This window comes from Homo sapiens, chromosome 14 (assembly GCF_000001405.40).
Source record: "Homo sapiens chromosome 14, GRCh38.p14 Primary Assembly".
In the NCBI taxonomy this organism is placed as follows: domain Eukaryota; kingdom Metazoa; phylum Chordata; class Mammalia; order Primates; family Hominidae; genus Homo; species Homo sapiens.
Genome location: NC_000014.9, coordinates 55,177,350 through 55,199,271, shown reverse-complemented (window position 1 = coordinate 55,199,271; position 21,922 = coordinate 55,177,350). Strand labels below are relative to the sequence as shown.

The 21,922-nt window shown below is 41.5% G+C and overlaps 1 protein-coding gene and 1 long non-coding RNA gene across 5 annotated transcripts in view, besides 3 other annotated features; one reads left to right on the top strand and one right to left on the bottom strand.

Moving 5' to 3' along the window:
- LOC105370508 (uncharacterized) lies at positions 3,235–7,599 on the bottom strand. The gene is made up of 2 exons (XR_943888.3): positions 7,470–7,599; positions 3,235–4,483 (listed from the first exon to the last, which is right to left on the bottom strand). It is a non-coding gene; the product is annotated as an uncharacterized LOC105370508 (long non-coding RNA).
- Positions 3,262–3,761: an enhancer, noted in NCBI's record as "H3K27ac hESC enhancer chr14:55662229-55662728 (GRCh37/hg19 assembly coordinates)". NCBI's record gives its function as "activates a minimal SCP1, AML or CMV promoter by ChIP-STARR-seq in naive H9 embryonic stem cells {active_cell/tissue: H9 hESC(naive)}" and the evidence as "EXISTENCE:reporter gene assay evidence [ECO:0000049][PMID:30033119]".
- Positions 7,391–7,943: an enhancer, noted in NCBI's record as "H3K27ac hESC enhancer chr14:55658047-55658599 (GRCh37/hg19 assembly coordinates)". NCBI's record gives its function as "activates a minimal SCP1, AML or CMV promoter by ChIP-STARR-seq in primed H9 embryonic stem cells {active_cell/tissue: H9 hESC(primed)}" and the evidence as "EXISTENCE:reporter gene assay evidence [ECO:0000049][PMID:30033119]".
- Positions 7,687–21,922, top strand: part of DLGAP5 (DLG associated protein 5) — a 43,451-nt gene continuing 29,215 nt past the window's right edge. For 2 of the 4 annotated variants that reach the window (NM_014750.5, NM_001146015.2), the window contains exons 1-7: positions 7,687–7,809; positions 10,092–10,330; positions 15,519–15,712; positions 16,840–16,902; positions 17,975–18,059; positions 18,494–18,616; positions 19,573–19,643. In NM_014750.5, coding sequence (NP_055565.3) covers positions 10,093–10,330; positions 15,519–15,712; positions 16,840–16,902; positions 17,975–18,059; positions 18,494–18,616; positions 19,573–19,643 — 774 coding nt within the window. In that variant the 5' untranslated portion in view covers positions 7,687–7,809; position 10,092. Of the gene's footprint in view, positions 8,204–10,091; positions 10,331–15,518; positions 15,713–16,839; positions 16,903–17,974; positions 18,060–18,493; positions 18,617–19,572; positions 19,644–21,922 lie in introns of all 4 variants that reach the window. The other 2 variants (XM_017021840.3, XM_047432016.1) reach the window with 1 other exon arrangement.
- Positions 7,944–8,497: an enhancer, noted in NCBI's record as "H3K27ac hESC enhancer chr14:55657493-55658046 (GRCh37/hg19 assembly coordinates)". NCBI's record gives its function as "activates a minimal SCP1, AML or CMV promoter by ChIP-STARR-seq in primed H9 embryonic stem cells {active_cell/tissue: H9 hESC(primed)}" and the evidence as "EXISTENCE:reporter gene assay evidence [ECO:0000049][PMID:30033119]".

Here is a 21,922-nt window from a genome sequence, read left to right as displayed (position 1 = left end):
CAGTTCCTCAGTCACTCTAGGCACAATTCAGGTGCTCAATAGCTATGTGGCTGGTGGCAACCATGTTGGATGGCTCAGGTCTGTGATTTGAGAGAACAAGTTTTCTCATCAACTGCCCTTGATGTCTAAAAACCAGACTTTGCAGGTCCATACTATCTTTAGTTCTCTTTCTCCTACCTTACCTTTTTTGTAGCCATAAATTCTCTGCCACATTACATGAACTCTCAATTTTATTATATTTCATTTTTTCTTTTCAGCTTGAAGCTCAGGGCTGCTGTCCAGCCCTGTCCACTCCCCTGTCAAGGGATTGTATCATCATTGCGAAACAAGCATATAATCTTCTACGACTTCCAAGTACATACATAATGGCACAAAGGAATTATAGTTTTTCAGAGCTCTTCCCTGAAACCAGATGCCATGACAAGTAAGATACATTACAAGTTTCCTGATACAAAAATTACAAGGTTCCTCAAGTTAACAGTAAAGAACTTTGGCAGACTACAGACAATGCTCCTGCCTGCATCGATACTTTAAAATAGGGTTCCGTGTGCCCAGTTCCAGAGACAAAACATGCTTGTGCCCAATGATGATCTAACAAAGGGAAAAGTGTACCCATATTCATGATTCAGTTCTGCCATTAACTAATTATGAATCAATGGGTAAATAATTTAAATCAGTATGTTTTCCAAGGTATACACTGATACTTGCTTCAGTATTGTGAGAGAATTTTTAATCTATAGAATAAAAGAAATCTGGCCAGGCACAGTGGCTCACACCTGTAATCCCAGCACTTTGGGAGGCCAAGGCAGGAGGATTTCTTGAGCCCAAGAGTTTGAGACCAGCCTAGGCAATGTAGTGGGACCTCATCTCTACAAAAAAGTTTTAAAAAAATCAGCCGAGCATGGTAGCGCATGCCTATAGTCCCAGCTACTTGGGAGGCTGAGGTGGGAGGATTGCTTGAGCCTAGGAGACAGAAGTTTCAGTGAGCCAGGATTGCACCACTGCACTCCCAACATGGGCAACAGAGCAAGACTCTGACTCAAAAAAAAATTTTTTTTAAGAATAAAAAAATCAAAGAGAAGCAAAGTGATATAATCATTTTAAAAGGGAGCTTGTTGTTCTAGAAAGAGCATAAATAAACAATGAAGAGTTATCTCTCCTCAGAGAGATGTGGATTCAAATTAGGAGCCAAGTAGTCAAGACACCAAGATGTAGCTAGGGCCACTGTTTAAAGTGAGAGTTGGAGTTTAAAACCAGCTACTATAGCAGGACTGCTGACTCTGCAATGCACTGTTTTGTTAGATTATGATTGGATTAATATGTGTATATTAGATTCATTCTGTAGAACTTTTGTGTAAAGTTACTTTTTTTATATAGCATGTATTCCCATGAAGAGAAAAAAAATGCAAGCCCAAGGATTTTCACACTCAAAAAGGAACATTCTAACTTTATCAATGTGCCTCCTAAGTCAGTTCATTTCCCTATTCAAAGCTGCAAGAAAATGTCATCAAATAGTCAATACAAAGGCTCTTTGCATGTTCAACAGTAAAGAACCGTAGGCTCATATTGAAATATGCTGGCATGTGCATGGTGGCTCACACCTGTAATCCCGGCACTTTGGGAGGCTGAGGCGGGTGGATTACGAGGTCAGGAGATCAAGACCATCCTGGCTAACATGGTGAAACCCCGTCTCTACTAAAAATACAAAAAATTAGCCAGGTGTGGTGGCAGGCACCTGCAGTCCCAGCTACTCTGGAGGCTGAGGCAGGAGAATGGCGTGAACCCAGGAGGCGGAGCTTGCAGTGAGCCAAGATCGCGCCACTGCACTCCAGCCTGGGCGACACAGCAAGATTCCGTCTCAAACAAAACAAAACAAAACAAAACAAAACAAAAGAAACAAAATACGCTGGCATACAGCACTCCATTTACTCCTATTTTATTGAGCAATATTACTGATCATAAAACTTGGATGTTTTATTGTTAAACAATTTTATAATTGCAAAACATATTAGGTGCATATGGAAAAACTAGGAAAACACGTAACCATAAGAAGAAAATATAAATGACAAAATTATACTCTCTGGATCAAATAATTAATTAAATATTTTTTATTTGTCCACTTTCCTTGTGTGATCTTGAGTAGGTTGCTTTAAGGCAAGTTACTTGCCAGGCTTGGTGGTGTGCACCTGTAGTCCCAGCTACTCTGGAGGCTGAGGCAGGAGAATCACTTGAACCCAGGAGGCAGAGGTTGCAGTGAGCCGAGATCACGCCACTACACTCCAGCCTGGGCAGCAGAGCAAGACTCAAACAATAAATAAATAAATAAATGACTCATGAATACTGCCATTGTTCCAGATAGCAGCAGAATCCTTTTCTGGGAATAATTATTTGGTGATTTTTATGGAGGATACAATTTGCTGGCATCCTAGTGAAACTGTACTCATTTTTAAAATGTTTAGTATACAATATAAAAGACTAAGATTTGAAAGACTGAAAATTGTACATCGTTCAGAGGTTATCAGTGTTCATTAAAATGTCACTAATTTTATGTTTGTCATTAATATTAGGCATTCAATAAGCAGTTGCTAGTTGGCTGATCAAGCGACTGCTCAGGTAACAGAGTTGATTAACAGTGAATGGGGTTATCATGGCTCCTCTGGACTTGAAACAAAAAAATTGCTTTCAACTTCACCATTAGAACTATTTGAGGGCAGGAACTGTATCTTCTTCAATTGTGCTTAAATACAGCACTTGGTACGTAGTAGGGCTCAATGCCATGTTGAATTAAGCTCCACAGAATGATTTAAATGATTTAACCACTTATCTAAGTTTCACAGGTTCTCTGATTTAAAAAACACAAGTAAGTAAATAAATACAAATTAATGCTACTTGGAAAAATGCTGATTTTAGTACTGTGGCAGGAAAACATATAAGATGAGTTATGAGCATCTTGTGGTATCAAAGAGTAAGGAAGTGCTAAAACAAATAAACAGAAACAAAAAAAAACTATACAATGATGGGAATATGTCAAAGTGATAGAGGAACAAACTGAAAGAGCTGCCAATGGCTATAGCTGGAACAATTTGAGCAATAAAATAAAGTAGTATGGGAGTATAACCCAAAGTATAAAATAAATATTCTAAGAATCCATCCTGATATAGGCAAATGATTAAATAAATAAGTAATGAGGGGAAAGGAAGCAAGATGGCGAAATAGAAGCCCACACCATTCATCTCTTACTGGAACATCAAATTTTAATGACTATCTGCACACAGAACCAAAAATCAGGTGAACAATCATGGTACCTGGTTTTGACTTCAAATTTCCAAAAGAGGCATTGAGGAAGGCAAGAGAAATAGTCTTGAATTGCTGACACCACCCCTCCCGCATCCTCCACCAGTGGCCATGTGGTATGGAGAGAGAATCTGTGCACTTTGGGGAGGGAGAGCGCAGTGACTGATGGACTTCACATTATATTCAGTGCTGCCTTGTCACAGCAGAGTTAAAGCTGTGCTGGGTTCAGCCAGCACCCACGCATGGAGGGAGGATTTGGACCATCCCTAGCCAGAGGGCAATAGCCTAGCAATTGGAACTTGAGCTTCTCAGCAAGGCACACCACAGCAGGCTGAAGTGCTCTGGGGTCCTAGGTAAACCTGAAAGGCAGTCTGAACACAAGGACTGCAAGTCCTAGGCAATTCCTAATGCTAGGCTTGCCTTACAGCCAGTGAACTAGCATGGTAAGTGACCTAGAGTGACACCAGCTGGCACACCTTGTGCCATACCTCCCCAAACCCCAGGCAGTGCAGCTCTCTGCAACAAAGTGACTCTTTCCTTCTGCTTAAGTAGAGGAGAGCAAAGAGTAAAGAGGACTTTGTCTTGTATCTGGGATACCAGCTCAGCCACAGTACGATAGGACATTGAGCAGGGTGATGAGGCTCCCATCCCAGGCCCTAGCTCCTAGACAACATTTCTAGACACACCTTGGGCCAAAAGGGAACCTACTGCCTTGAAAGGAAGGACTCAGTCCTGGCAGGATTCATCAGTCCTTGGGCCCTGAATAGCAGCAATACCAGCGAGTATGCTGTGGGCCTTGGGCTCTGAGATATGCTGGCTTCAGGGGTGACCCAGCACATTCCCAGCTGTGGTGGCTACAATGGAAGACTCCTTCTATTTGAGAAAAGCAGAGGGAAACATAAAGGAGGCTTTGTCTTGCACCTTAGGTACCAGTTCAGCCACAGAGGGGTAGAGCACCAAGAGGGTTCTTGGGGGAGTCCTCGAGTCCAGGCTTAGGCTCTTGACAGCATTTCTGGATCTGCCCTGGGCCAGAGGGGAGCCCACTGCCCTGAAGGGTGAGTTCTAGGCCTGGCAGCATTCACCGCAAGCTGACAGAAGAATGCTTGAGCTTTATGTGATCATCAGCCGTGGCCTGGCAGAAACCCCCATGAACAGGTGGTGGTGGTGGCTATAGGAGAGGCTCCTCTGCCTGTGGAAAGGGAAGGGAAGAGTTGAAAGGGCTTGTATTATGGTTTGAATGCCAGGTTAGCTACAGTAGAATAGAACATCAGGTAGGCCAGGCGCAGTGGCTCACACCTGTAATCCCAGCACTATGGGAGGCCGAGGTGGGTGGATCACCAGGTCAGGAGTTCAAGACCAGCCTGGCCAACATAGTGAAACCCTGTCTCTAATAAAAATACAAAAATTAGCCGGGTGTGGTGGCGGACGCCTGTAATCCCAGCTACTCAGGAGACTGAGGCTGGAGAATCACTTGAATCTGGGAGGCAGAGGTTGTAGTGAGCTGAGATTGCGCCATTGTACTCCAGCCTGGGCGGCAGAGACTCCACCTTAAAAAAATAATAATAATAATAATAAAAAGAACTTCAGGTAAATTGCTAAGATTTCTGACTCCAATCCCTGGCTCCCAGACAGCCCAGCTCTGGGAACAGCCGGGGCCTAGGGGAACTCACTGCCATGATAGGTGCTGGCTTAAGGTCTGATCCAGCACAGTCCCAGTGGTGGTGGCCACAGTGAGCCACCACCCTCAGTTCCAGCTGGCTCAGCAGAGAGAGACATTCCATTTATTTCGGAGCAAGTGAGTGAAAAGAACAAGAGTCTCTGCCTGTAATTCAGAGAATTCTTCCAGATCTTTGCCAAGACTATCAAGGTGGTACCTCTACAAGTCTGAAAAAACCACAGCATTATTAGGCTTGGGGCACAAGTCCCTTCAAACACCCTGAAAGCCTTCCCAAGAAGGACAGCCAAAAACAAGCCCAGATTGTGAAGACTACAATAAATACTTAATTTTTCAATGCCCACACACCAATGAACATCTACAAGCATTAACACCATCCAGGAAACATGATCTCATGAAATGAACTAAATAAGGAACCAGGGACCAATCCTGGAGAAACATAGATATAGGAACTTTCAGGCAGAGAATTCAAAGCAGCTGTTTTGAGGAATCTCAAAGAAAATCAACATAACACAGAGAAGGAATTCAGAATTCTATCAGATAAATTTAACAAAGAAGCTGAAATAATTTAAAAGAAGCAGAAATTCTAGGGTCAAAAAATATAATTGACATGCTGAAGAATGCATCAGAGTTTCTTAATAGCAGAATAGTTTTCTTTTCTTTTTTTTTTTTTGAGACAGGTTCCTACTTTTTTGTCCAGGCTAGGGTACAGTGGTGCGATCATAGCTCACTGTAACCTCAAACTCCTGGGCTCCAGTGATGTTCCCACTTCAGCCTCCCAAGTAGTGGGACTAGAGATGTGCGCCACCATGCCCAGCTAATATTGTATTATTATTATTATTATTATTTGGTAGAGATGGGGTCTTGCTATGTTGCCAGTGCTGGACTTGAACTCCTGGCCTCAACTGATTCTCCCATCTTGGCCTCCCAAAGTGCTGAAATTACAGGTATGAGCCACCATTCTCAGTCTCTTTTTTTTTTTTTTTTTTTTTGAGATGGAGTCTCACTCTGTCACCCAGGCCAGAGTGGAGTGGTGCGATCTCAGCTCACTGCAACCTCCACCTCCTGGATTCAAGCGATTCTCCTGCCTCAGCCTCCTGAGTAGCTGGGACTACAGGCGCGCACCACCACACCCGGCTAATTTTTGTATTTTTAGCAGAGACGGCATTTCACCATATTGGCCAGGGTGATCTTGATCTCTTGACCTCGTGATCCCCCCGCCTTGACCTCCCAAAGTGCTGGGATTACAAGCGCAAGCCACAGTGCCTGGCCAGAAGGGTGAACATTAGAGACTGACAACCCCACGTGCTGGAAAGCATGTGAAACAAGTGGAACTCTTATATGTGGCTGGTGGGAATTGTAAAATGGTACAACCACTTTGGAAAACTGCTTGGCAATTCCTTACAAAGTTAGACATGGGTGACGGCACCCGCCTATAGTCCCAGCTATTCAAGAGGCCAAGGCTGCAATGAGCTATGATTGTGCCACTGCTCTCTAGCCTGGGGGACGGAGAGACCCTGCTTCTAAAAAAAAAAAAAAATTTTAAGTTAAACATACCCAGAATGACCCAGAAATTCCACTCCTGTATTTCCTCAAGATAAATAAAATATGCCCACAAGGACTTGTACGAGAATGGTTATAGCAACTTTGCTCATCATCACCAAAAATTGAAAGCAATACAAATCCATCAACTGGTGAATGCATAAAGTATTCAATGGAATGCCTCTCAATAACAAACACTACTAACTTCTGGTTCACGCAGACCCAAAAGAGTACCTATCACCTTCATTTTTATAGTGCTAGAAATAAGAGGAGTGGTTGCTGATGTGGTGGGAGATGGACAGGAAAGAAACAGGCCACTCTTCTGAGTGATGGAAATGCTCTACGTCCTGATTGGGTGGTAGTTACACAGCTGTTTACATTTACCAAACTCATCAAATTGTCCACTGGGGGGGAAAAACTATTATTTTCACTGTATACGAAAACTTCGCCTCAACAAAAAATGAACTAAAAAAGAAAAAAAAGGGGAGGGGGGCTGGCGACGTTGAAAAGTAACGCTAAACTATGTAAGGATTTGATAATTGGGGTAAGCCTTTTCTTTAAAACGTCTAGTAAAGAAAACATTCCAAGAAGGTCTGCTAGATTCTGTGACTAAACAAGGACATTAAAAAGCCCTGAATCCAGCTTGGTCAACGTAGTGAGGCCCTGTCTCTACGGAATTTTTTTAAAGTTAGCCAGGCGTAGTGGTGCGCGCCTATAGTCCCAGCTACTCGGGAGGCTGAGGTGGGAGGATGGTTTGAACACAGCAGCTCAAGGCTGCAGTGAGCAGTGGTCGGTGCCCACTATACTCCAGCCTAAGGGACAGAGACCTTGTCTCAAAAAAAAGAAAAAAGAAAAAAAAAAAAAGCCTTGCGAGCTCTGGGGGAGATTTCCCGCAGCCCAGCTTTGCCAGGGACCCAGCCTCACCCCTCGGGCTCCACCGCCCACTCCCGCCCTTCACCTGACGTGAGCGCCCCGACTGCTCCACTCCTTCTCATCCCGCGTCGCGGTCCCGCCTATTTTCCCTCTCTCACCCATCTTTTGAACTGGCCCTTCACCTTTCAATCAATTCAAATATCGCACGGAGCAAACCAATCGCAAGCCTCGTTGAGTGGAAGGGGTGGGATCTTCCCCGGAAGTGTTGGTTAAAGCCCCTCCAATCAGCGGCTCGGTGCGGCAAGTTTGAATTTCGTGGAGGCTCGGGTTGTGAGGGTTCCTGCTTCGGAGTCGGCGGTGGTCGTCCAGACCGAGTGTTCTTTACTTTTTGTTTGGTTGAGGTTTCACGCTAGAAGGTGGCTCAGGTAGGTGGGTGCTGGAGAGCTGGACGGAGAACACTGGCCCGCTTCCGTTGAAGGTCTAGAAGGGTCTGAGGACCGGGGGCTGCGAGCGGGAGCAAGTCAGAGGCAGGCTCCTTTAGGACCGTGTTACCTGCCCTTCCCGAAGCTGATAATGCGAGCCTTTAGAAGAGTCCATATGTTTGCCCTGACCTCTGTAATAGTCAGCGTTTCACCACCGGGGCGTAATTGACCTTTGGGGTGAAACTGTTCTTCACTAGCTCCGACATTAAATTCCCGTAGCTCTTCCCAGGTCCCATGGCAACTAAAAACGCCCGGTTGAGAACCTCTAGTCAAGCAAGATTAACGCATTCTGGACTTTCAAGCTGGAGGAAACGCCACTCAGCCAAACAAAATTTAGGTGTGTGTGGAGCCAGGGCTGCCTTGCTTGGGATCCCAGCTTCACCACCTTTTAGATATGCTAATGTGAGCAGTTAATTGACCTCATCTGTATGAGAGCGATAATAGTTAACTACCTTTCAGGGTTATTCTGATAATTGTACCTTTAATGTTGTCCTCGCTCGCTCTTTCTCTTGCTGTGGATAGTGCTATCCTGTATTTAATACATAAGTCTTAATTTTTCTTCAATCTTTAGCGAATTAATATTGCAGGAGATAAATAGTAGAAGACAGTTCTTTATGAAAAGCACAGTCCATTGTCACTTTCCTTGGGTCTTAGAGGAGAATGTTATTAGCATGCAGGTCAGACAGATTCTCGTTTTTTATATTTTGTTGATTGCTTAGAATCATGTAACAATGTATTGCATTACTTGTGCCAATTTTTCTATTATCTGGAGTTTTCTAGTGGATTTAGTTAATTCTTGTTGAAGAATATACCATAGTGTGTCTATCACAGAGCCTCCCCCTTACCTTTTTTTGTTTTTGTTTTTTAACTGCCAAGACTTCTGAGAATCAGTATCCTTTCTCCAGTTTGGCTTGGTAGTTCTCTATACCAGCTACACAGGTGACCCCCTCAAACTTTCTAATTTTCTTTGTTCTCCCTAGTTGGATCTACTGACGTCGTCTTTATTGTCCTCTTTTGTTTTGCTTGAATACATTCTCAAAGATCTTTCCAAGAAAAAGGCATGTGCCAATTAAACTATATGATTTTGTGCGTGTGTGTGTGTGTGTGTGTGTGTGTATGGCTTTTCTTTTTTAAAATTTATAGAGACGGGGTCGTGTTATGTTGCCCAGGCTGGTCTCAAACTCCTGGGCTCAAGCAGTCCTGCCTCGACCTCCCAAAGTGGTAGGATTACAGGCCTAAGCCACCGTGCCGGCCTAAACTGTATGATTTCTTGTATGGATGAAAATAATGGAGCAAACTGATAGGGTTATTGTGAACTATATATTTGGTCTTGTTCTGTTTTCTGGCAAACAACTACTAAAATCCTTGGAGTCTTCAAAGTGGTACCTTTTTGTATGCTAATGATTGACTGATAGCTGGATGCCTCTAAATAGCTTCAGGATTGGGGCTGGTCACTAGACAGACCAAGGCAGGATTTCTCGAGAGTTGGCATTTTCAGCCCCACCTCACAACCTCTGGGGAGGGGAGAGGAGCTGAAGGTTGACTTGATCACCAGTGGTCAATGATTTAATCACTCATGCTTATGTAATGAAGCTGCCATAAAAACCAAAAAAAAACACCTGTGTTTGGAGAGCTTCTTAGGTGAATACATGAAGGTTCCTAAACAGTGGTGCTACCTGAGAGAGCATGGAAGCTCCTTGTTCCTTTCCACATACTTTGCCCTGTGCCTCTCTATCCAACTCTATCTGTATCCGGTTGCCTATTGATTATCCCTATATGACTAATAGGTACCTGGTGTGGGGTTTTTGTTTGTTTTTGGTTTTCTTTTGGCTTTAGAAGAAATGTTAGACTACCTGCATTCCTCATCATGGGTAAGGAAACCCTTGTGTACATGGTCCTTCACTTAACCTATTTTCACCTTTATTTCACGCTTTTCTTTTTGCAGTGTTCTCTGTGGTAAGCCCAGAGCCTCTTTTATTCTGGACTATCACTTACTGGCTTTCTCTTCACTGGTCAAGCAAGTTCCTATTTAAAACCCCCAAATAGGTAGCTTCTTATTCTCTGATAATCTTCTTCTCACTTTTCAGTGTTACATATTTATTTCATTGCACATTTTATATTTTTATTTCAGAAGGCCCTGAAGTGGGACAGGAAATGAACTGTAATCTTAATTTTTTAAATAATGAAAATTCATGTAAGTTGGGTTTTGTCCTTTTCCTTGACAGGATGTCTTCATCACATTTTGCCAGTCGACACAGGAAGGATATAAGTACTGAAATGATTAGAACTAAAATTGCTCATAGGAAATCACTGTCTCAGAAAGAAAATAGACATAAGGAATACGAACGAAATAGACACTTTGGTTTGAAAGATGTAAACATTCCAACCTTGGAAGGTAGAATTCTTGTTGAATTAGATGAGACATCTCAAGGGCTTGTTCCAGAAAAGACCAATGTTAAGCCAAGTAAGTAAAGGTCTGTTGTAATTTTAAGTACTTTGAAGAGTGAATAATAGTTGGTTTAATGCCTGTGTGAGTAAAAAACTCTGGCCAGAAGAGTTTTGAAATACCATTCTATAAATAACTTTCCTTTTTGGTCTTTTTCCTTTTTTTTTTTTTTTTTTTTTTAAATTACAAGAGACAGGGTCTCACTGTGTCACCCAGGCGGGAGTGCAGTGGTGTGCTCACTGTAACCTCAAATTCCTGGGCTCAAGGAATTATCTTGCCTCAGCCTCCCAAAGTGTGGGGATTACAGGTGTGAGCCACCGCGCCTGGCCCCTTAATAACCTGTTATCTACAACTAACTACTGTCTTTAAGGCAAAAGCCTTTACCTGTGGAGTATTATAACACTTTATTATCTATATTGCTTCATAGAAATCCTAAAGTTCTTACGGAGCTTGGGTAGGATAAGTGTTGACAAGATAAATTGATAAGAAATGTAAAAATAGAATAATTAAAGAATCCATGAAATGAGAGTACTTTGTCAATGGAAACATTAGTAAGAAAAGAGCAAAGAATTCATCCTTGCAGTTTGCCCAGAAGGATTGGGACCATTAGGATGGAAAGAACCAACTAAAGAAGAAAGGAATAATCTCAGAAAAAGATGAAAATAGAGCATCTTAGAAGGCAAAGGATGCTACAGAAAAGAGAAAGCAAACTGAGAAATGACTTGTGTTTAGTCAGGAGTCACCCTACTCCTATTTGTTGTGTTCATATAGCAGGCGTTAGGAGCTAGATGGCATTGAAATAATGCTAGGATAAATAGGGAATGGCAGAAAGAACCAAACATTTTTTATCTGAGAAAGGGTGGTTCCTTTCTCATCTTGTCCTCTCAAATGCTCCATTTCTTAACCAAAAATCTTTCAAATTAAAGTCTAACTATCTCAGTATGCTATTAAAATATCCTTTATTTCCCGTTTGCAAAGGCTTAGAGGTAGGAGTGTGCCTGATATGTTTTAGTGAATGCAAGTAGGTAACTGGGTAGAAAAGAATGAGCAAGGGAGATAGATTACATAGAATCCTAAGGACCATCATTATAAGGACATTGGCTTTTACTCTGAAATGAGAGGCCATTAATGGGTGTTTATGTAATCTGATTCATGTTTTAAAAGGATCGCTTTGGAGTCAGGCCTGTAGCCCTAGCTACTCCAGAGGCTGAGGCAGGAAATCTTGAGCTCAGGAGTTTGAAGCTTCAGTGTGCTACAATGGTGCCTGTGAAAAGTCACTGCACTCTGGCCTCGGCCACACATGGAGATCCTGTCTCCTAAAAAAAAAAAAAAGAAAAGGATCAGGTCGGGCACAGTGGCTCATGCCTGTAATCCCAGCACTTTGGGAGGCCAAGGCGGGTGGATGGCGAGGTCAAGAGTTCGAAACCAGCCTGACCAACATGGTGAAACCCCATCTCTACTAAAAATAAAAAAATTAGCTGGGTGTGGTGACACACACCTGTAATCCCACCTACTCAGGAGGCCGAGGCAGGAGAATCGCTTGAACCCAGGAGGTGGACGTTGCAGTTAGCTGAGATCACGCTATTGTACTCCAGCCTGGGCAACAGAGCGAGACTCCATCTCAAAAAAAAAAAAAAAAAAGGATCACTTTGGCTGCTGTGTTGAGAATAGATTATAGGGTGGTATGTATGACATCAGGGAGAGCAGTAAGTAGACTACTGCAATAACTTAGTTGATACTAAAGTATTAAAAGACAAGGGGCCAGATGCGGTGGCTCATACCTATAATCCCAGTACCCCAGGCTAAGGTGAGTGGATCACGAGGTCAAGAGATCAAGACCATTCTGGCCAACATGGTGAAACCCCATCTCTACTAAAAATACAAAAATCAGCTGGGTGTGGCGCGTGCCTGTAGTCCCAGCTACTTGGGCGGCTGAGGCAGGAGAATCACCTGAACCCAGGAGGTGGAGGTTGCAGTGAGCCAATCACACCACTGCACTCCAGCCTGGGCAACAAAGTGAGACTCCGTCTCAAAAAAAAGACAAGGGAAAACTAGTAAAGAACCAAGGAACAATGCAAAGTAATGTAAGAGGATAACCAGAAGAACGTGCTATCCTAGAAACCGAGTAGAAAAGTGCATATCGAGGAGAGACTGATTAACTATGTTAGTCAGTACTGCTTGTTAGATCAAGTATAATAGAGGTGAGAATTTGGACTTCACCACTGTGGAGGTCACTGGTGATCTTGAATAGTTTTGGTGGAGTGAGGTTCAGGGAGTGAAAGATTGGAATGGATGAGTATAATCAAACCCTTAGATATAATTTGTAGTCTGTAGAAAACATGGAGCCTGGAGGAATGAGTAAATAAACAAATACAGCTTGCAAAGACATTCAATAGGAAAACTGACTACCTTTTGTCAGTAAGACAATGGCATGAAAAGAAGAGTGGGGAGGAGGATCTGTTTTAGATGAAGAGATTTAAAAAGACATTCAAATAAAACGTGTTGCTCTTACTTGGTTCTTGATTTAAGTAAACAGATGGTTTAAAAGACCTCTTTGAAACAAATAGAGACGTTTAAATCTGGACCCTGTAATAGATAACAAGGAATTACTGCTGATTTTGTTAAGTGTGATGATGATATCGTGGCTATGAAAGGAAATGTCTTTATTTTATTTTATTTTTATTTTTTGAGACGGAGTTTTGCTCTTCTTGCCCAGGCTGGAGTGCAATGGCACGATCTCGGCTCACCGCAACCTCTGCCTCCCGGGTTCAAGTGATTCTCCTGCCTCAGCCTTCCTGAGTAGCTGGGATTACAGGCATGCACCACCACGCCTGGCTAATTTTGTATTTTTAGTAGAGACAGGGTTTCTCCATGTTGGTCAGGCTGGTCTCAAACTCCCAACCTCAGATGAACCGCCCACCTCAGTCTCCCAAAGTGCTAGGAGTACAGGCGTGAGCTATCGCACCCTTCCAGAAATGTCTTTATTTTTTAGAAGTATATACTAAAGTATTTAGAGATGAAATCTTCTAAGCATAATTTGTTTTAAACAACTGCAGCAAAATGTTCATAATTATTGAATCTTGGTAATAGGTATATGGGGTTCATTATAATTGTGTGTATATTAGAAGTTTTTCATAATTTTGAAAAGAGAGGGAATGTAAAGAGTGTTGGAAATAGGCTGGGCTTGGTGGCTCACACCTGTAATTCCAGCACTTTGGGATGCCAAGGTGGGTGGATCACCTGAGGTCAGGAGTTCAAGACCAGCCTGTCCAACATGGTGAAACCCCATCTCTACTCAAAATACAAAAATTAGCCAGGCGCAGTGGCGCATGCCTGTAATCCTAGCTACTAGGGAGGCTGAGGCAGAATTGCTTGAACTCAGGAGGTGGAGGTTGCAGTGAGCCAAGATTGCGCCACTGCACTCCAACCTGGGCGACAGAGTGAGACTCTGTCTCAAAAAAGGCCAGGCGTGGTGGCTCACACCTGTACTCCCAGCACTTTGGGAGGCCGAGGTGGGTGAATCATGAGGTCAGGAGTTCGAGACCACCCTGGCCAAAATGGTGAAACTCCGTCTCTACTAAAAATGCAAAAAATTAGCTGGGCATGGTGGTGGGCGCCTGTAATCCCAGCTACTCGGGAGGCTGAGGCAGTAGAATCGCTTGAACCCGGGAGGCCGAGGATGCATTGAGCCGAGATCACGCCGCTGCATTCCAGCCAAGGCGACAGTGCGAGACTCTGCCTCAAATAAATAAATAAATAAAAGTGTTGATAGTAGAGATACAGGTAACTCTCTTGAAGAATTTTGCCTTAAATGGGACTAGAAAAATAAGTGCTAGATGAGGATGTAGGTTGGGAGAAATTACCGCATGCTTGTAACTTCATAATGGCAACAATTCAGTAGAGGAAAAAATAGATGAGTAAGAGGATAAGTTGCTGGAAGAATGTCCTTGAGTAGGTGAGAAGAAATAGAGTACATCTATTATAATAAATAGCACCTATAATTGTATTAGTTATCCCAAAACTTAGCAGCTTAAAACAATAAATATTGATTATTTCATACAATTTTTGTGGGTCAGGAACTTGGGTATGGCTGAGCTGGGTGATTCTGAAGATAGCAGCCAAGATGTCATCCAGAGATATATCTGAAGCCTTAACTGAGACTGGAGGATCTGCCTCCAAGATGACTGACTCACATGAACAGCAAGTTGATGCTGGCTTTTGGAAGGAGGCTGTAGTTCTTTGTCATGTGGACATCTCCATAGGACTGCTTGAGTCTTCTTAAGGCCCCACATGGCACCTGGCTTCTCCCAGAGCAAGCGACGCTTCAAGAGAGAGCAAGGCAAACACTACCCTAGTTTTAGAAGTCATATTCCATTATTCCTGTAATACTCTCTTGGTCACACAAGTCAGCCCTATTCAGTGTGAGGGGATGACACAGGGCAAGACTACCAGGAAGTGAGGATCAGTAGAGGGCAGCTTGGATGCTGGCTATCATACAAGTTAATTAATTTAAAAGTGAAGTAATAAATGCCTATTACATAGCAAGCAGTTAATATTTGAACACATGAAGGCAAAATGAATACAAATTTTAAAAGACTAGGGGTTGAAATAACTTGTGGTTAGAGTGCTAAAGAATTAACAAGAAATATTAAAAGCATTTCCCTTTGTGCGGAGAGGTCTTGCTTTGTTACTCAAGCTGAACTTGAACTCCTGGGCTCAAATGATCCTTCCACCTCAGCCTTCCCAGTAGATGGGACTACAGGTGTGTTACTGTGCCTGGCTTATTGAAAGCCTTTTTTTTTTTCTTGAGACGGAGTCTTGCTCTGTTGCTTAGGCTGGAGTGCAGGGGCGCAATCTTGGCTCACTGCAACCTCCATCTCCTGGGTTCAAGCAATTCTCCTACCTCAACCTCCCGAATAGCTGGGATTACAGGTGACCGCCACCACACCCAGCTAATTTTTGAATTTTTAGTAGAGATGGGATTTCACCACGTTGGCCAGGCTGGTCTCAAACTCCTGACCTCAGATGATCCGCCCTCCTCAGCCTCCCAAAGTGCTGGGATTACAGGCGTGAGCCACCGTGCCTGGCCTGAAAGCATTTTTTAGCAGCAGTTGAAATGACACAAAAATAATTGTTTATACATTTGCATAACTTTTCATCTGAAATGTTTTATATACTGTGTGGTTTTGGTTTTTTTTCTGCCTAGGGGCAATGAAAACTATTCTAGGTGATCAACGAAAACAGATGCTCCAAAAATACAAAGAAGAAAAGCAACTTCAAAAATTGAAAGAGCAGAGAGAGAAAGCTAAACGAGGAATATTTAAAGTGGGTCGTTATAGACCTGATATGCCTTGTTTTCTTTTATCAAACCAGAATGCTGTGAAAGCTGAGCCAAAAAAGGTAAATTTAGTGTCTTAATATAAAGGAATAGTTTCTTTTATTTGGTATTTTCTTCAAGACATTAAGTGACTAACCCCTTTCCCTTAGTCTCATTATTAACTGGTTGGTAGAAGGTGGGAATGACATAATAGTAGCTCAGAAGAATGAAAATCAGGTCTCTTAAGATAGCTGTAGGTAAGTTGAGATAGGATAAAACTAGGAAAATTGGTAGAATCAGGCTGAACAATGTTATGCAAAGGATTTGGTGTTTATCCTGTAGGTTTTGCAGAATCAGGAGAAGTTTATAAATAAGGGTAGTGCCGTTGTCAAATTAATAATTCAGGAAAATACCATAGCCCTAAAGATTTTAGTCTGGAAAGGGAAGCATTTATAGATAGGGAGACCAATTGTGAGACTATTGTAATAGAATAGATGGAAAGGGGCAGTGGGTTTTAAAAGGAAAAAATAGGTGTAAGACATCTAAATAAAGGCATTTGACAGGACTGGTGGCCAAGTAGATGGTGAGGGGTAAAGGAAATTGAAAAAGCAGAGAGAAGCTCTGCTGCTAAAAGAGATAAGGAAGATAAGGAACAAGCTTAAGTGGGTGCATGTTAATAACCTTTTTAAAAATCTTAAACTTGTGTGGGCCACCTAGATATTAGTAAAAATTTGGAAAGAAGGATGGAAATTGGTGCTAAGATGTCGATTTAGGATATAATATTGGGAATATGGATGAGTGTTTAAGCTGTAGGACTAAATGAGACCATTCCAATAAGGATATATAAAATTATGAAAAAGTGGGCTCTAGAGAGCACTTTTAGGTAGGCAGAAGCCAGGTACCAGGCTGAGGACTGGTCAGAGAGGCAGGAGAACTAAGAGAGGATAGAAGCTCATATTAATGATGATTCCAATACCTGGAAAATACGGTTTGAAATTTCTTTCTCACTGAGAAATGTGAGTAATTTTTGAAGTTACTAACTTAATTTAAATCAAGCTAGAACCAGAAAAAGGAATTTAAGTATCTTTTTGCTATAAGAGATTAAGGATAAAATTTAACTTTAAAATGGGAACTTTATTTTGTAATAAGATATGGAAGTAAACCTTTACCAGTTCATATTTTAAGTTCATCTTCTTTTGACTGTTCTAAGGCTATTCCATCTTCTGTACGGATTACAAGGTCAAAGGCCAAAGACCAAATGGAGCAGACTAAGGTATAGTTGATAGTAGATAATTGTTACTAAAATGATAAATTGCACTTTTTTAGTAAGTAAATTCATTTTAAATCTAGTATCAGATTCAAACATAATGATTAATTTACTAGAGTTAACAGGTACCAAAGTCACTGTTTTTAGTATGGTGATGTAGAGCAATTTCACTTAAAATATTTGCTCCAACATTCCGTATGAGATCCATGGCAAACTGTCTTTGTGTCACACTCTTGTTTTGTTTAGTGGGCTCCTATTATGCATTCCAAGTTACCTGCATGAAATGCATATGGGGAGGAAAGCACACAGGGTAGGTGTTATAAACTTACGGGTCTTCAAAATACTGTAATAGAGATATCAGGAGGGTTACTAAAACAAAGTGAAGTGGGCAAGAAGGGAAATAATATGCCTCTTTATCAGGTGAGGAAGCTAAGTTCCACGTATGCATATATATTTTGCATTGCTATGATGTTCCTGGTGTTGTAGGCTTTTGGATATAATAAACTAAATTCTCTTTGTGGAACTTACATGTAAGGCATTTAAAAAAATACATAATATGCCAGAAGATGATAAGTATTATGGAAGAGATTTTAAAAAGGGGAGATGGGGTGTACTAGAAATAGGTATGGGGTAGAATTTTGATTGGGCAGTTAAGGAAGGCCTCCCTGAGATGAAAGCCTTTTGAGTGAAGTCATTATGGAAGTGGAGAAGAGAACCATGGGAAAGCGCTTTTTATCCAGGAGAAGTATTTTCTAGGCAAAATTAAAAGGTCTTGAAGTGAAAGTATGTCTAGGAGTGTTTAAGGACCTTCAGAAGGCAAGTTATAGTGAGCTGTTTTTAATAGCTTGGGTTATTAGCATTTTCCAAATTCTGTGATTGTGAAAAAGGATGTAAGCTTTTTTGGAAGCTTAATGGAAAGCTTTTCTTTATCTCATTTTATTTGGGGTAGTTTTTTGTTGTTGTTGTTGGGTCATTTACGATGATCAGATTTCATATGAGGAATCAATTTACAGATTAAAAATATGATGGTCTGATTCATTATGCAATTAAATCACATAGCACCTAATCTCTTAAATAGATTGATAACGAGAGTGATGTTCGAGCAATCCGACCTGGTCCAAGACAAACTTCTGAAAAGAAAGTGTCAGACAAAGAGAAAAAAGGTAGGAATATTAGCAATTACTATAAATCCTCTGAGGCTACCACAGCCATAATTTTTTTTAAGTGTCTTGAAGGTCAACTGGAATTTGTTCGTTTGTTTGTGACAGAGTCTTGCTCTGTTGCCCAGGTTGGAGTGCAGTGGCACAATCATAGCTCACTGGAGCCTCCACCTCCTGGGCTCAAGTGATCCTCCCACCTCAGCCTCCTGAGTAGCTGCAACTACAGACTTGCCACCATGCCCAGCTGATTTTTATATTTTTTGTAGAGACGGGGTCTCACTATGTTGCCTAGGCTGGTTTCGAACTCCTGGGCTGAAGTAATCCTCCTGCCTCCCAAGTAGCTGGGACTACAGGCATTGCACTACCATGCCTGGCTTCACAGCAATAATTTCATAACTACAAGGGACATTTGATGTAGTTATTTTTTTTTCCCACAGTTGTGCAGCCTGTAATGCCCACGTCGTTGAGAATGACTCGATCAGCTACTCAAGCAGCAAAGCAGGTTCCCAGAACAGTCTCATCTACCACAGCAAGAAAGCCAGTCACAAGAGCTGCTAATGGTGAGAACTATTCCTTGATCAGTGACTGAACTAGAATGTTTGGTCCTTGAGGTTTTTGTGTTCCGTTTCAAAAATCAACAAGTACTTCTTTGAGTAGGAGAGAAGGAAACAGGAAATTCTAATACCTGAAAATAGATTCTGTGCCCTGACATCTGGTTAGCACACAATGGGTGCCCAATCATTGAAGACCTTAATTAGTATAAGCAGTGTTTCAAAGTGAAAAATTAATGGTCCGAGTAAATCACAGTTCATTTATTTGGTGCAATACAACGTAGCCATTAAGAATAATATTATTAAAGAACACTTAATGACATGGTTCATGATATATTAAGTGGGCAAAGAAAAGCAGGTCAAACTCTGAACAGTAGGATCGCAGTTCTAAAAAGCATTATGGGAATATGTGGACATAGGACTGGAAAACCATACCCTGAAGTGACAGCTGAGTAATGGAATCCTGGGTGATTTGTCATTATTGTTCTTTGTAGTTTTCTGTTATTTTTCTAATTGTCTGTAATAAATATGTACAGGCTGAGCAACCCTAATCAAAACATCCAAAATTCTGAGCATTGACATGAAGTTCAAAGGTCATCCTCAAAGGAAATGCTCTTGGAGCATTTCAGATTTTAGATATTTGTATCAAGTATGCTGAACCTGTAAGTATAATGTAAATATTCCAAAATCTGGAATCTAAAATATCTCTGGTCCCAAGCATTTTGGATAAGGGATACTCAATCTGTATTTGGTATTCAGATGAAAAGGGTAAAACACTCTGGTTTTGAAAAGAGATGGTTTGTATTTGGCAGGAAATTCCATAACCCTTTTTATAATATGGCTTTTAATAAAAAAATCCTTCAAGACATATATTCCTACTGTTGCTTCTTTTCCTTTCCCAAGTTACCTAGTATTTTCATGTAGCATTTCTATCTAGTAAAATAAATATTTTATTGTTGTTTTAGAAAACGAACCAGAAGGAAAGGTGCCAAGTAAAGGAAGACCTGCCAAAAATGTAGAAACAAAACCCGACAAGGTAGAGAATAAACATCTTTTTAATTCTAGATGCTTTGAAAATCTCATTGCTACTTTCATAAAGTTGAAATTAAACATAAAGAACTGCTTCAAAAGGTTAACCTACATGTGTGTTAAAACTTCCTGAACCATAAGAAAGCATCAAGAGGATTTACTCTTGTTATTTTTCAGGTATCTTATTTTCAGAGCTTTATAGGTAGAGAAAGCATAATTTTGTTAGAAGATGGAGAAAAATAATAAAAACACAGCTGAGAGAAACCTGTATGTGGGAATTAGCCAAGACATAGGGTGAAGTGGGGTGAAATGCATTGACTTTGGATTCATTTAGGCCTGGGTTTGAATACTCTCTCTGCTTCCAATTAGTTGCATAACCCTGGGCAAGTTATGTAGTTTATGAGCTTCTTTTCTTATTCCTAACATGGAATACCTGCATAGAGTAGTTGTAAGAATTAAATAAACTAAAATTTCTGCCTGCATCTAGCATGGTTTCTAATAAGGTCTTCAAAAAAGATGCCCCATTTGAGGACCCAACCCCTTGGCCTATAATCTATGATATAGTTTATTTTCTTTTATTTTATTTTTTGAGACAGAGTCTCACTCTGTCGCCCAGGCTCGAGTGCAATGGCGCGATCTTGGCTCACTGCACCTTCCGCTCCCCGGGTTCAAGTGATTCTCCTGCCTCAGCCTCCCGAGTAGTTGGGATTACAGACGTGCACCACCACGCCCATCTGATTTTTGTATTTTTAGTAGAGACGAGGTTTCACCATGTTGGCCAGGCTGGTCTTGAACTCCCGACCTCAGGTGATCCACCTACTTCGGCCTCCCAAAGTGCTGGGATTACAGGCGTGAGCCACCACGCCTGGCCAGTATAATTTCTTAATTTAAAAAAAGTACCAAAGATTAAGTAACCTGGCTAGATTCTTAGTAAAAAATCAAACACAGATCAAGAAAGGAAACACACAGTGAATCTTCACAGATAAAGCAGCTGGACCTTATAGGTCCCCCCTTAAGATTAACCCTTAAGGATTATCACTAGTTTTTGCTTTGACTGCCATGCTGGCTTCAACAGTGTTACCACTTAAACTCTTGTCCAGGTTGAAATACCTGGGTTTGAGTTCATATCTTATTAAAAATCAGAAACCTGGAAACCTCTAGAAATTATTTAAATACCAAGTAACAAATTGACTTGAAATAGTAAATATGCTTTGTATTTTATATGGTTAATCTTTTGTGTCACATTGAAAGTATTGCTCTTGTGTTAAGGTTATTTATAATCTAAGGTTATTTAACTTAAGAATTTGGTCCTTAATGATAGTCATTCCATAATGTTAGATTTCTGATTTTAAACCATTGTAATTATCAACATAATTTTTTTTTTGAGACAGAGTCTCGCTCTGTCGCCCAGGCTGAAGTGCAGTGACACGATCTCGGCTCACTGCAAGCTCCACCTCCCGGTTTCTCACCATTCTCCTGCCTCAGCCTCCCAAGTAGCTGGGACTATAGGCGCCTGCCACCACGCCCCAATAATTTTTTGTATTTTTAGCAAAGACGGGGTTTTGCTGTGTTAGCCAGGATGGTCTCGATCTCCCGACCTTGTGATCCGCCCGCCTCAGCCTCCCAAAGTGCTGGGATTACAGGCATGAGCCACCGTGCCTGGCCGTAATTATCAACATAATTTAAGTAAAAAGATACGTATTTGTTGAATAAGTTTTTCCATATTAATTTTCCATTATCTTTTAATTTGTTGTAATACCCAAAAGGTATTAGTTAGTCTTTAAATAAGAATTGGTTCGGGGTGGGTGCGGTGGCTCCCGCCTGTAATCCCAGCACTTTGGGAGGCCTAGGCGGGCGGATGACGAGGTCAGGAGATTGAGACCATCCTGGCTAACACAGCGAAACCCCGTCTCCACTAAAAATACAAAAAATTAGCCGGGCGTGGTGGCGGGCGTCTGTAGTCCCAGCTACTTGGGAGGCTGAGGCAGGAGAATGGCGTGAACCCGGGAGGCGGAGCTTGCAGGGAGCCGAGATCGCGCGACTGCACTCCAGCCTGGGCGACGGAGGGCTACTCCGTATCAAAAAAAAAAAAAAGATTCTATTCCCGGGTAATAGCAATGGATTTAGCGTAACTGGTCTTCTGATTCCATGTATACACTTAATTGTATCTGTTTTTGTCTCTCAAATTATGTACATAGAACATATATTTCTGTTGTCATATTTTCAGACCTATAAAAATTGGTTGAATATATCCTCAGAAGAGAGAAATCTTACTCTACTTTGTTA